The sequence below is a fragment of the Homo sapiens genome, chromosome 6 (assembly GCF_000001405.40).
Source record: "Homo sapiens chromosome 6, GRCh38.p14 Primary Assembly".
Taxonomy (NCBI): Eukaryota; Metazoa; Chordata; class Mammalia; order Primates; family Hominidae; genus Homo; species Homo sapiens.
This window is the reverse complement of record NC_000006.12, coordinates 122425860-122440287: the sequence shown is the minus strand read 5'-3', so window position 1 is coordinate 122440287 and position 14428 is coordinate 122425860. Positions and strand designations below refer to the sequence as shown.

Sequence of the window (14428 nt, the reverse complement as noted above, 5' to 3'; positions counted from 1 at the left end):
TGATAGAGGAGTGTTGAAGTCTCCAACTATAATAGTGAATTCAACTTTTTCTGTGTTAACCTATTCTCTAATTTGCTATAAAGAAATACCTGCGACTGGATAATTTATAAGGTAAAAAGGTTTAATTGGTTCACAATTCTGCAAGTTGTACAAGAAGCATGGTGCAAGGCATCTGCTCAGCTTCTGGTGAGGCCTCAGGTAACTTGCAATGATGGCAGAAGCCAACAGGGGACCTGGCATCTCACATAGCAAGAGCAGAAGAGAATGAGGGGGAAGATGCTACACTTAAGCATCTAGATATTGTGAGAACTCACTATCACAAGGACAGCACCAAGTGGATGGCACTAAAACATTGATGAGAAATCTGCCCCAATGATCCAGTTATCTCCCACCATGTCCTACCTCCAACAAACAGTGGGGATTATAATTCAACATGAGTTTTAGAGGAGACCACATGCAAACTGTATCATTCTGCCCCAGCATCTCAAATCTCATATTCTCACATTGCAAAATACAATCGTCCTCTGCCAATATTCTCCCAAAAATCTTAACTAATTCCAGCATCATTCAAAAGTACAAAGGCCTTCTGAGACAAGGCAGGTCTCTTCCACCTATAAGCCTTTAAAATCCAAACAAGGTATTTACTCCCAAGATACAATGGGGGTGCAGATATTGGATAAATATTACCATTCCAAACAAGAGAAATTAGCCAAAAGAGGCTGCAGGCCCCATCCAAGTCTGAAATACAGCAGTGCAGTCTTTTTTTAAATATCCCAAATAACCTTCTTTGACTCCATGTCTTACCTTGTGCCTCACAAGAGCACATTGGTATAAGGAGTGGGCTCCCAAAGCCTTGGGAAGCTCTGCCTCTGTGACTTTGCAGGGTAAAGGGTTGGAGTTTAGTGCTTGCAGCTTTTCCAGGCACAGAGTGCAAGCTATTGGAGGATCAACCATTTTGGGGTCTGGAAGACAGTGGCCCCCTTCCCCCAGCTCTCTGAGGAGCACCCCAGTGGGGACTCTGTTGGGCCTCCAACCCCACATTTCCCCCCCATACTGGCTTAGTAGAGGTTCTCTGTGAGGGCTCCATCTCTGCAGCAGGCTTCTGCCTGGTTACTCAGGCTTTCTCATACATCCTCTGAAATCTAGGTGGAGGTTGCCAAACCTCCTTCACCCTTGCACTCTCCACACCTGCAGGCTTAACAACACGTGTTAGCCACCAAGGCTTATGGCTTGTGCCCTGCACAAGTGGCACCCCATGCCTTACTTGGGCCCTTTAGAGCTGAGCAGTGTCCCAAGGCTGGGCAGCCCCTTCTCTATGGCTGCTTTTACATTTTTTTCTTTCATTTCAACCTTGGAAAATCTTATGCCTATGTGCCTCAGGTATGGTCTTCTTGTGAAGTATCTCCCAGGGCATTTCCTCAGTTTGAATGTTGGCCATTCTAGTGAGGTTGGGGAAATTTCATGAACAATATCCTGAAATATGTTTTCCACGTTGCTTGCTTTCTTCCCCTTTGGTTTCCTTTACATAATCCCCTATTTCTTGGAGGTTTTGTTCATTCTTTTTGTTTTAGTTCAGTGAGCCAATCTTTGAGCTCTGAGATTCTTTTCTCAGCTTGGTCTATTCTGCTGGTAATACTCGTGATTGCATTATGAAATTCTTGTAGTGTCTTTTTCAGCTCTATCAGATCAGTTTGGTTCTTTCTTATAATGCCCATTTCATCTATCAGCTTCTGTATCATTTTATTGTAATCCTTAGATTTCTTGGATTGGGTTTTGACTTTTCTCCTGAATCTCGATGATTTTTGTTCCTATCCATATTCTGAATTCTACTTCTGTCATTTCAGCCATTTCAGCCTGGTTAAGAACCCTTGCTGGGGCACTAGGGTGGTTGTTTGGAGGAAGAGACTCTGGCTTTTCAAGTAGCTATATAGCAATGCTCCACTCCTCAGTACCAATTTTCTGTGGCAGGCCATCCTTATATTGCAAAAAATACCTGAGGCTGGGTAATATATAAAGAAGCTTAATTGGCTTATGGTTCTATAGGCTGTACAAGCAGCACAGTCCCAGGCATCTGCTCAGCTTCTGGTGAGGCCTCGGAAAGCTTACAATCATGGTGGAAGGCAAAGGAACCCGATGTCTCACATAGTGAGAATCAAGAGTAAGAGAGAGTGAAGGAAGAAGCCATATACTTGTAAACAGGCAAACCTCATGAGCACGCACCATCACAAGGACAGCATCAAGTGGATGGGGCTAAACCATTCATGAGAAATCTGCACCAATGATGCAGTCACCTCCTACCAGGTTCCACCTCCAGCACTGGAAATTACAATTCAACAAGAGAGTTAGAGGGGTCAACTTCCAAACTATATCATTCTCCCTGCAGTTCTATCAGTTTTTGCCTCATGTATCCTGATCCTCTGTTCTTGGGTGCATACATGTTAAGGATAGTCATGTCTTCTTGGAGAATGGACCCCTTTCATCATTATCCCTGATAGTAATTCTTGCTGTATAGTCTGCTATTCTATAATATACCTGTTTCTTCATTTTGGTTAGTGTTAGCCTGGCATATTTTTCTCTCTTTAATTTGTATGTCTCTTTACATTTCAAGTGGGTTGCTTGTAACCAACATATAATTGGGTTTTGTTCTTTGATCCTGCTTTGACAATTTTTTCTTTTTTAAACTGGCCCAGTTTTTCCATATAATAATCTATCTTTTAATTGGTACATTTACACCCTTGACATTCAAAGTATTTATATATTTGGATAAACATCTACCATAATGTTACTGTTTTCTATTTGTTAACCTTGTTCTTTATTCCTATTTTTGTCTTCCATTCGTCTTGTGCCTTTGATGGTGTTAATTTGGCATTTTATTATTCTCTCTTCTAGCGTGGTTTTCTTGTGGTTGCCCTTGTGTTTGCAGTATAGATTTACAAATAATGCAACCCCTCTTTCAAATAATAATATACTGCTTCTTGGGCAGTGTACCTTATAGTAACAAAATAATCCTAATTTCTCTTTCCTATCCCATGTATCATTGCTGTCATTCCACTTATATATAAGCACCCCTAAGTATGACGACTATACACACACACACACACACACACACACAAAAATATATGTGTACAAAATCAAATACATTGTTGCCATTATTTTGAATGAACTGTTAACTGTTAGATTAAGAATTGGTACCATATGGAACAGGTTAGTGGAACTTACTATAAAAGGCTTTTCTTTGGGGGAAATTTTTAATTACTGAAACTATTTAGGAGCTGTGGGATTACATGTCTATCTTCAATTAGTTTGAGTAAAATACTCGTAGTAATTTGTGTATTTTGTCAGTTTTCAAATGAATTGTTCATAATATCCTCACATTTTCAAATTTCAACTGCGTTTATAAAATTTTCATTTTTCCATTCTCTATTTGTGTCTTCTTGCTCGATCTTACCAAAATATTTTGTTTTAGTGCTTTTTCAATAAACAAGTTCTGGCTTATTTTACTTGGTTTTTGTCCACTCATTTTGTTTTTATTCCTTTCTTAAAAAGGCACTTAAGAATAGATTTCCCCTCTAGATATCACTTAAACTGCATCTCATAAATCTGGGCATGTACTTTTCTTTTTTTTTAATCATTAACATCAGTATTTCCAACATTTTTTGTTTGGCCCCAAAGTTTAGCAGTTCTTTTCCAATTTCCAGAAATGTTAAAGAAGCTCAAAATGGTTCTTCTGGTTTCTAGCTTATTTGCATTGTGGTTAGTCTGTTTGATACCAATTCTTAGAAGTTTGTTGACTTACTTTATGACCTACTATGCTATATTGATTCTCGAAAAATACTTCATGTGTGCTTGAAATGAAGGTTTAGGCTCTAAGTCTTGAACGTGACCTTTTATATACGTTAAGTCATAGTGAATGTCATTTTGGTATTTTTCCAGTCGCAGACCATTCTTCTCACATCTGAAGCTCTAGATTCCTGATTATGCCATCTGTAATCAAACACATACTGACACAACCTAAAAGAACATTTAGCTGTCTGTAATTCGCAAGCTTTTATGGTCCTAGTTCTATCTCCCTAAGACAAAAAAAAAAAAAAAGCTGGAAGTGGGATAATGAGGGGTACCCCCTACACTGTCTTCACACTGTGGTACTAGTTTCCCAGATAGTACAGGCAGACTTCCTCTGGTACACACAAGCTAGATTGTTTTTTAAAGAAACCACATCTTTCATTCCTATGTGTGTTCTTTCCTAAAACTGATCTGGCTGAAACGGTGCCTCAGGCCTCAGGACAAGGCATCCTTTTTTTTTTTTTTTTTTGAGACAGAGTCTGGCTCTGTCACCCAGGCTGGAGTGCAGTGGCGCGATCTCAGCTCACTGCAAGCAAGCTCCGTCTCCCGGGTTCACGCCATTCTCCTGCCTCAGCCTCTGGAGTAGCTGGGACTACAGGCGCTCGCCACCATGCCCGGCTATTTTTTGTATTTTTTAGTAGAGACGGGGTTTCACCGTGTTAGCCAGGATGGTCTTGATCTCCTGACCTCGTGATCCACCCACCTCGGTCTCCCAAAGTGCTGGGATTACAGGCGTCAGCCACTGCACCCGGCCGGCATCATCCTTTTTAACAATTATTCTGGCCAGGTGCGGTGGCTCATGCTTGTAATCCCCGCACTTTGGGAGGCCGAGGAGGGCAGATCACCTGAGGTCAGGAGTTTGAGACCAGCCTGGCCAACATGGTGAAACCCCGTCTCTACTAAAAATACAAAAAATTAGCCAGGCGTAGTGGTGCACGCATGTAATCCCAGCTACTCCAGAGGCTGAGGCAGGAGAATCGCTTGAACCCGGGAGGCAGAAGTTGCAGTGAGCTGAGATTGCGCCATTGTAATCCCTGTCTGGGCAACAGAGCAAAACTCTATCTCAAACAAAACAGAACAAAAATTATTCTTTTCATACTTGACAAAACAAAGATATATCTCTTATCCATTCTGAATCTTACCAATGCACTTTGGAAAAAAATCTCCAGACAATTGGTAAAGGGACATTTAAAAATATTGGTGAGAAAGAGATGACACTGAGTTAAAAAAAACTTTTTTTTGTGATTTAGCTGGTTTCTAATATTTTGCTTTCAACAAAATTGAAAGATGATCCAACTGAGTCATCAATTGATAGAATTCTGGTACATAATTCTAAAGGTATTAAAAAATTAACAGTACTATACAAAACTGCTTTTTCATCTACTTGTCATTTTGTACTATAAACAAAGATTCTCAGGATTTTAACATCAGTGAAAACAAAAATAGGAATAAAATTGGTACTAACTTTTATTATGAAAACTCAGGAAGAGCTGTTTATTCCACTATAAGATATATTTTTGGTAAAACTTTTTGTTTAACAGATCATCAAAATTAGACTCTAATTGTAGTAAACATTACAAGCTATAACAGATCAACCCCCAAAAACTCAGGTAGAAAAAAGGTTTGTTTCCCCTCACCTGAAGTGTAAAATGGTTATCCAGGACTGATAGGTGGCCTTCCTCTAAGCAGTAATTCAAGAAGCCATTTTTTTCCTTCTTGATTGTATATTTGAAAGCTACATACAACTCTGCATCAAGCCAGTGGAGGGGTAAATGGCATGGGAGGAATGCATGGGGGAAGTTACACCACCAGAACTGGAAGTGCTACACATCACTTCTCCTGTTTTACTGATTAAAACTCAGTTACATGGCTACCCCATCTGCAGTGGTGGAAATAATCTAGCCACATGATAGGAAAAGGAAACGGTCTGGCAATCAGTTAAGTCTCTACCATATATATTTATATGGTTTTAATCCACTGTGTAGTTATACAGTATAAAATTGGAGGGAAAGTTTTTTAATGCCTAGAATCTTACAGTTATGGGAAACAATCTCAAATTTAGATGTAAAGAGGTGTCACGAAAGATCATCATTGTCTAACTTTCAAACATAAAAAAGCAGGATAAAATTCTTTGGAGGAAGCCGGGCACGGTGGCTCATGCGTGTAATCCCGGCACTTTGGGAGGCCGAGGCAGGCAGATCACCTGAGGTCAGGAGTTCAAGACCGGCCTGGCCAACATGGTGAAACCCCATCTCTACTAAAAATAAAAAATTAGCCAGGTGTGTTGGCACATGACTGTAGTCCCAGCTACTCAAGAGGCTGAGGCAAGAGAATCGCTTGAATCTGGGAGGCGGAGGTTGCAGTGAGCCGAGATCACGCCACTGCTCTCTACCCTGGGCGACAGAGTGAAAGTCTGTCTCAAAAAAAAAATTGTTTGGAGGAAGTAGAGTGGATGATAGAGATCAAATCACTATGGCATTCAAATTCCTTTAGGTAAATGTTAAAGAAACATATAACAATTATGTTTTAAAACAGCAATATTAACTATATCCTAAATTCCTTCCAACTATTTAAACTTAAGATGAAAAATCTTAAATGTCAACTTTAAAAGTACCAGGGTCATAATCAAGTTTTTCAAAATTATTTTTTAAGTGCTTCTAGAGTTCCAAAATGCCCCCAAGAAGAAGAAACTTGACTGTATTTCACAATGAGAAAGGAATGAAGAAAAGTCTTTTAAGGTTTTCTCCTCTCAGTTTCTAAACTCTTATCACCCTTAGAAACATAACCTCTTCAGCTCACGCAGAGCACTGTTGTAGGGTCTTGAATTAATTCACCAAGATCCCACCATCAGAGCCAAGTATTTTAGGATCTAACTAAAACTCTCCTAAGGGAATTTTCCTATTCTTCTGTGCTAGCCCTTACTTTGAATCTTTACATCATAATAAAAGAAATTCTAAGACACTGACAGAATATGGCCAATAGGAAAACCTGCCTTGAAACTCATTAAATAGCCCTATACAATATTAATTGTACTGCTTTCAGCCCTTTGCCCAAAGGTGAAATTCTTCACATGATAAAGTGCCCTGGCCTTGCATTAAGTCTCCATAATTCTCTTGGGCAACTGTTTCAAAGGAAAGAGGTGATTTGACTATTTCTCTTATCTTCTCTCCAGACATCCAGTGATAATATTCTTACACTATTTGGGACAATGAGAGGCATAATTCTCTCACTTTTTTATTAGAAACATAGAAAGCAACCCAGTATAATTTTTAAACAAAGAACTTTAAAATACATTAAATTTAGAGATTATATTTCTCCCTTGTTGCAATATACAATATATTTTCGAGATGAGGCACAAATATCTTGGTATGATTCATATTGAGAATAATGAACCACAGACAGTTTAAAGCTACTGCTTCCTATGAGAAGAAAAAATTGTTTCATGTGAGTGTCACCTCTAAAGAAGACACATAACAGACACTAGTACTCAACATTCATTGTATTTATTTTACTAAACAGTATGGTTCAAAAAAACACAAACCGGAAAACCTTTATTTAAAACTAGTCCAACTAACTGGATGGGGCTCACTCCATCCCATCCCACCCCCGATCTTTCTATATATATGGAGCTGGAACCCTATCAGACAGCGAGCATTCACGTACACTTTGTCTTTCCTGTTGAACATGAATAAACGTCTTTGAACATAAATGAACTTCTCTGAACCAAAAGAAACAAATGAAGTTTTACAAGATACAGGCACTTTATGTTCCCAGTTTTAAAAATAAGCCAAGTGAAAAATATTTAATAAAAATAACTGGAGCAGAGAAAGCTTTAGGAGTTATACCATTAGTTCAAATGACTTACACTCAATGCAAATAGACAGCATCAAACAGGAAAACAAACAAAAATTTAACTGAGGTTAATGGTCGTATTTGTAAAAAAAAGATATCCAATTTACCAAAATTGGAGAAAAATGGCCATTTGAATCCAACTTAAAGATACGCCAATAATGTGCATTACATCTGCGTAACTATGCAGCTGAGTAACACCTGAAAGCTCTGCAAGAGTGTGTGGTTAGTGAGAAAAGCAAAAGGTGCTTTTATTCCACAGTATCTGATTAAACAAAACAAAGCAATTTACAAAAAAAGTACCAAATGATACTTTAAAATAAATAGTTCATCATTTTGATGAATATATACATGTAAAGTCCACTTCCTGGGGATTTAGCTATCTAAAAGTGGCATATCACTATCCAGAGGTGCAGGAGCAAGTTCACATAAATAAAACAGTGTAGCTTCACTAGCTTCAGCTTCAGTCAATGGCTCCAGGCGAACAAGCTTACTTTGGGTTGGTTCTGGGTCTAGGCTGCTATCCAGAAGCTCATCAACTTCTATGGGTTTATCTACAGAGGACAAAACTTCTGATGATGCTGTTGTACTCGCCTGTTCAACAGAAGAAGCAGGGTTCCCATCGAGGAATGCAAGAAGTGGAAAGGCGGTATACTGGATAAGCTGCTTATCTATAAAGATCAGAAAAACACTCTTTTATCACCAGCTTATACTGAGTTCAAGCTGAGGGGAAAAAAATGAAAACAGAGATGTACACATAGGCAATTACTACTCTCATATAGCCAAACAAGAAATGACATGATGCACTATGTCAATAAATTTTAAAATGTGCAAGTCAATAGCTCTTATTCAACAATTAAGAAATGAGGGGTCTTTAGTTTCCTAAAGTTAAATAGGATAAAAAAAAAAAACTTAAAGAATTGTTACCTCACCAATTCAACTTTCTCTATATACTAGAACCTCGACACACTATTCACAGAACTAAAGCCAGCATATTCAATTAAGACTACCCTCGGCTTGCACTTGTTTCTGCATAGGATTAAAAAAACCTACAGAGACTGAATACTATATTTATACCTACCTGGTTTGGATTTAGATTTTCTTCCCTCTTCCGAAACTGGCTGAACTACATTGTTCTTGGTAGTTTCTAATCCTTTATTCTCAGACTAAAAGAAAAAAATATATATATAAGTACTTGTTTCATATTTTATGTTTCTGAAAAAAATGAAAAATTGATACAATATGTAAATACTGGTATATTATCTGAAATATATGAGATGGGGAAACATCAGGGAAAATGGGCTACAGAGAGAGATCTGAGTAGAGATAACAAGACTGGTTAAGGAACTATTGCTGTCACTGAGGGGATAAAACAAAGAACCTGAATTAAGATGTTCTATATTAAGTATGAAATGAAGGGGGATTTCAGCAGCAGAACAGATAGAATTTGTCACGAGTAAAAGATCAGAATGAATCAAAGATGACTGGTTTCAAAATGTTAATTGAGAGATAATTAACTAAGCAATTAAATTCATTTTAAGTAGTTTTGATTTAAAAAATGTATTATACATTTCACTCATAAACAGAATATTTAGCATAAGTGAACATATTTAGAGTAGCTCAGGATGACATAATGACATCCTTAAAACTCTTTATCACTATTTAGAAGCCTCAAAGTTGAGGTGGTGTTTCTTCTTGTCCTTTCTGTAGCTCTGTCAGTTCTTTTCTGTCATTTAAATTGCTTCTTTGAACCACTTTCTTCTCTCCTCACATCTGACTGTGGTAGGGAAATTATATCTTTACCATTGTTAATTTCTTCAGTGCTCCTTTCATGTTCAAACTCTGAGGTGCAGAGGTTCTTAATTTTTCCTGTAAGTCCCAGACATCTGCAAGTCCCAGATCTACATGCTGGCTAAATATATATGGTGTAACCAACTGTAAACTAATTCCAGTAATTCCCCTGATATTTAACATAAAATGAAGCTGTGTAAGTTTTAGGATTTAAGAGAAAATAAGGGCTCCAAGATATAATAAAAACTACGAAACCTTTCCAAAAGTGTACATAAAAATATTTCATCACTTAGCATTCACAATAAATATATAAACATTAATGAAATAATACCATCTTTATTTTTAGGCTTCCTAAAATAGGTATTTTCCAAAGACGTCACCGTTATTCTAAAACATGAGAACCTGATAACAAATGGATTTCAAATAGACACAATAAAAAATGATAAAGAGGATATCACCACTGATCCCACAGAAATACAAACTACCATCAGAGAATACTATAAACACCTCTACACGAATAAACTAGAAAATCCAGAAGAAATGAATAAATTCCTGGACACATACACCCTCCCAAGACTAATCCAGGAAGAAGTCAAATCTCTGAATAGACCAATAACAAGTTCTGAAATTGAGGCAGTAATTAATAGCCTACCAACCAAAAAAAGCCAGGACCAGACGGATTCACAGCTGAATTCTACCAGAGGTACAAAGAGGAGCGGTACCATTCCTTCTGAAACTATTCCAAACAACAGAAAAAGAGGGACTCCTCCCTAACTCATTTTATGAGGCCAGCGTCATCCTGATACCAAAACCTGGCAGAGACACAACAAAAAAAGAAAATTTCAGGCCAATATCCCTGATAAACATCAATGCGAAAATCCTCAATAAAATACTGGCAAACTGAATCCAGCAGCACATCATAAAGCTTATCCATCACCATCAAGTCGGCTTCATCCCTGGGATGTAAGGCTGGTTCAACATACACATATCAATAAACGTAATCCATCACATAAACAGAACCAATGACAAAAACCACATGATTATCTCAACAGATGCAGAAAAGCCTTTAATAAAATTCAACACTCTTTCATGCTAAAAACACCCAATAAACTAGGTATTGATGGAACATATCTCACAACAGTAAGAGCTATTTATGACAAACCCATAGCCAGTATCATACTGAATGAGATTTCATTTCCCATGCAAATTCTTATTCATTCATAGTGGCCAATTAAGATTGCTGTACTGAGAAGTATAAGGCATCTGATTTATTAGGAAAGTGTTGTAATCCATGTTATGTAATACCTGTCATGAGCAAGGGAAGGACAGCTGATGTGCCAATTATTTGAAAACATTAAAATCTAGATTCAGAACTATAATGAAAAGTCACTCTCAAATGTAATTTTTCTACAGCATTGTAGAGCAAAATGCAATTTGTTGCTTAACTGCTTATAGTTTTTGAAAACTATAATCAAGGTCTTGGTTTCAGGAATAAGATGATGATCCACAAATAAGGACTCAATGTCCAGTCGCAAATAAACAACAAAGCACATTCACTACATGAACAAATGATATGGGTCCATTCAACTTAAATGGTCCATGAGAATAACATTCAGTAATATATTTACTGAAACACAGAGCATGTTATATAAAATCTTGTAATATAAATCCAGGTAAACTTATGGTCCATATGCCAAATTCAGCATGCTGCCTGTCTGTAAATGAAGTTTTTTTGCAACACAACCACACATTCTTTTACATATTGTCTGTATCTGCTTTCACATTACAATTGCAGAACTGCATAGTTATGACAGAGAACATATGGCCTGAAAAACCAAAAGTATTTACTAGCTGCCCCTTTATGGAGAAAGTATGCCAACCTCCAATATAAATTATCTGAATACTGAATGTATAATCAACTTCCTATTTCACAAATTCACAAATTTTTTAAGCTCTAAGTTATCCACAATGTAACTTTGAAGATATAGACAGTCTGGTCAGGCTTACACATGACAATAATCGTATAAATTCCACCCCTCACCCTAATCACTTATATTTATTTGAGATGTGCTCATTTTTGGACTATAAAGAAAAAGAATCAAAATAAAATTCTGGCTTCACTAATCTGGAATCTGGACTTGATTTACCTTTAACAAGGCTTACTAAACAATTTGGTACAAATAAAAGATAAAGGGAGTGTATACCTATTCATGACAATTAAGTTATATAAAATACAATGATATAAAACACCTGCTCTAATAACTTCAAATTGTCCTTACTACTCATTAAAAACAAGTTCCGCAAAATCTCTTGTCAACACTTGCTAAGCCCAAGTGCAGTTCCTATATGTCAAAAAAAAAATCCTTATTACTTAAAAAAAGTCAAATATTCATACGTTTCAACTTCCCTTTTCTGCAATAAATAAGAATTCCTGAATTTTTACTTTATGCTAATGATAGAACTCACAAAAAATATGGGTACTATAACTTTTTAATAAAAAAGTTGAGAATAGGAAAAATAAGAATGTAAAATGCTGCCCATAAAACATGAAGAAATCATATTTTAGTTATTGGTTTCAATATACCAAGTTTAGTCAGGTGATCTCCCAGCACCAAAAGAAGTTAATTTCATACTGGTAGTTAATCCCACAAGTGCCAAAAGTGGGTAATAGTTCACCACATAACCAAAAGCTAATTTTTCAACTAGAATTTTATTATCTTGATCACACATACTGGGTAAGAATATAAAATGCTTTTTGTGGCTGGGAGTGACATTGCTCTCTACTTATTAGGACGTTTTTGTAGATTTTTATAGCTATGGGTCCTGAGCAACATGAATTAAAACTTACTTTTGTATTATTGATGTAATCTGTGGGATTCATCTGCACAGAACTAGTGAAAAGCTGAAAGACCAAACAAGAAAGATGATAAGTTTAAAAAATAATTAAAAATAATTGTGTGTTCAAAATTTTATACAGCCATGTTGGGTGAAGAGATGTAGCCCCTGCACTAGGAAGCTTCTATACAGTTAAACAAGTTTGAAAGAGAAAAGCAGAAAGAAAAACAAACAAAAGCAGAACAAGCTAGCCCATGCATTAGATAAAATTTCATGTGGTAAGAATTTCTCTAAAAAACATTGGGGTAAATCACTTGAGACAAATAGTGGTTTTCACCTCCTCCCTTCTTCATTATTTATCATTCAATTTCATTTCCTTTATTTTTTTTCTCTAAATGTCTTTGGCCTTAAGTGGTGTGCAGGGTTGAGACCTCTGCCCTGACACTGAGCCTTCACTGAATACCTGGTTAGGTAAAAAATTTACAGAATCTGCTCTATGACAGTGGCTCCTAAACTATGCCTCAAGTGAAGCCCTCTGACAGATGGCATATCTACTTGTTGGTTCTTTTCACCACACCTCGCAAGGAAAATTTTAAGTGCTAAGATCACTGCTTACTGCACTCCTCAGTCCAGCCAGTTCACAGATGTAACTATAAGTCATAAGCTTTAAAGTCATTCATTCCATAGAAATTTACTGAGTATCTTTAACAAATAACTGACATCATAAAGACATCATTCCTGCTCTCTAGGAGCTTACAATCTAAAGGACAAGGTAAGACCAACATCAAATAGCAACACACGTTCAGATATAATCCAGTATTTTAACAGAAGATGGTGGCGCTCAAAAGCACTAAGGAGTTAAGACAATGGGAAGGGAGGAAAGCGCACACAGAAACATACATAATGAAATAAAAGGGCTGATAAAACTATGTGATATATATCAGTACCTGGAGAATATTAGGTTAGAACTTGGAAAGGAGAAGACTAGGGGAAGAACACACGGGTATAATACTAGCGGCATCAACAAAGAAGGTAGGATATGTTCCAGAAATAGAAATAACACAGAAGTTCTAAGTTGAATAAGTTATATACATAGGTTCGAAAAGTAGAGGCCACATCCTGTCAGCAATAAGAGCCTTGGGAATGGCCTGAATGATGAAATGCACTCACTGAGTTAGCCTTTTATGAGAATGAACACACCAAATGGTTCACAGGATAGAATGAGGTGCAAAAAAGCCACAGGCAGATTCTTCCTCCATTCTCTCTAGACACTGATTCCTCTCTTTAAAGTTCCATATTCATGGTAGTCCTATAAAATTCCCTGGCTTTGCCTTTTTATTTCCTTCTCCTTTCTTACCAACTACTAACCTCAGAAAAGGAAGAAAGCTCAGATCCTTGAGAGTAGATAGTGACTCATAATAATCAATCTCTGCCAGTTTAGCTTATCACTGCCTAAGAAGCCTAACCCAAATTTTGTCCCTACAGAGAGTGGCATCTGAGGAGGACCAGCACTGTAAGCTCCTCTATTCTCCTCTTTGCCCAGCAACCCCTACCCACTAACTCAGGGATATCCTACATGTATTCCTAGGAGACAAATGGTAGAAAAAGTAGATCATATATAAGCTGACACAGCTGGTTGAATTCTAAGGCCAGGCCTCTCCTGCTGTGACCCCACTCTGGGTTACCAGTACTGGTACTAAACTCTTCAGAGAGAAGCTGTAAACTTTTCAGCACACTTATTCACATTCTTACCATTTTTGTCATCTCAGAGAACAAAGCAGCATAGGTGGACTTTTTATTTATGACAATACAGCGTAATTCAAGGATAAAATAATGAGGGTCTTGGATGAGAAAAGCAATAGTGAAAACAGAATATAGGGATGGCTTGTGAATGCTATTTTAGAAAACTGGATTTAGTGAATGATGAGAGAAAGAGAATTCAAGGTGATTCTGTGATAACTATCCTCCTAAGTAAATAGAAGTAATACCACTACAGAAAATCAGAAAGCTGTAAAATGTAACTAATACAGAGAATAAAGAAGTTTATTGTTAAATCAAGTAATCTGAGGTAAGAGCTAACTGATGATCCCAAAGTAACGGAATTAGAATT

At 37.1% G+C, this 14428-nt stretch overlaps 1 protein-coding gene across 2 annotated transcripts in view; it reads right to left on the bottom strand.

The window, feature by feature from the left end:
• HSF2 (heat shock transcription factor 2) overlaps nucleotides 7169-14428 on the bottom strand; it is a 33569-nt gene continuing 26309 nt past the window's right edge. The window contains exons 11-13 of one of the 2 annotated variants that reach the window (NM_004506.4): nucleotides 12332-12385; nucleotides 8774-8858; nucleotides 7169-8363 (exon numbers count right to left, since the gene is read on the bottom strand). In NM_004506.4, coding sequence (NP_004497.1) covers nucleotides 8068-8363; nucleotides 8774-8858; nucleotides 12332-12385 — 435 coding nt within the window. In that variant the 3' untranslated portion in view covers nucleotides 7169-8067. The remainder of the gene's footprint in view (nucleotides 8364-8773; nucleotides 8859-12331; nucleotides 12386-14428) is intronic. The other variant, NM_001135564.1, reaches the window with a different exon arrangement.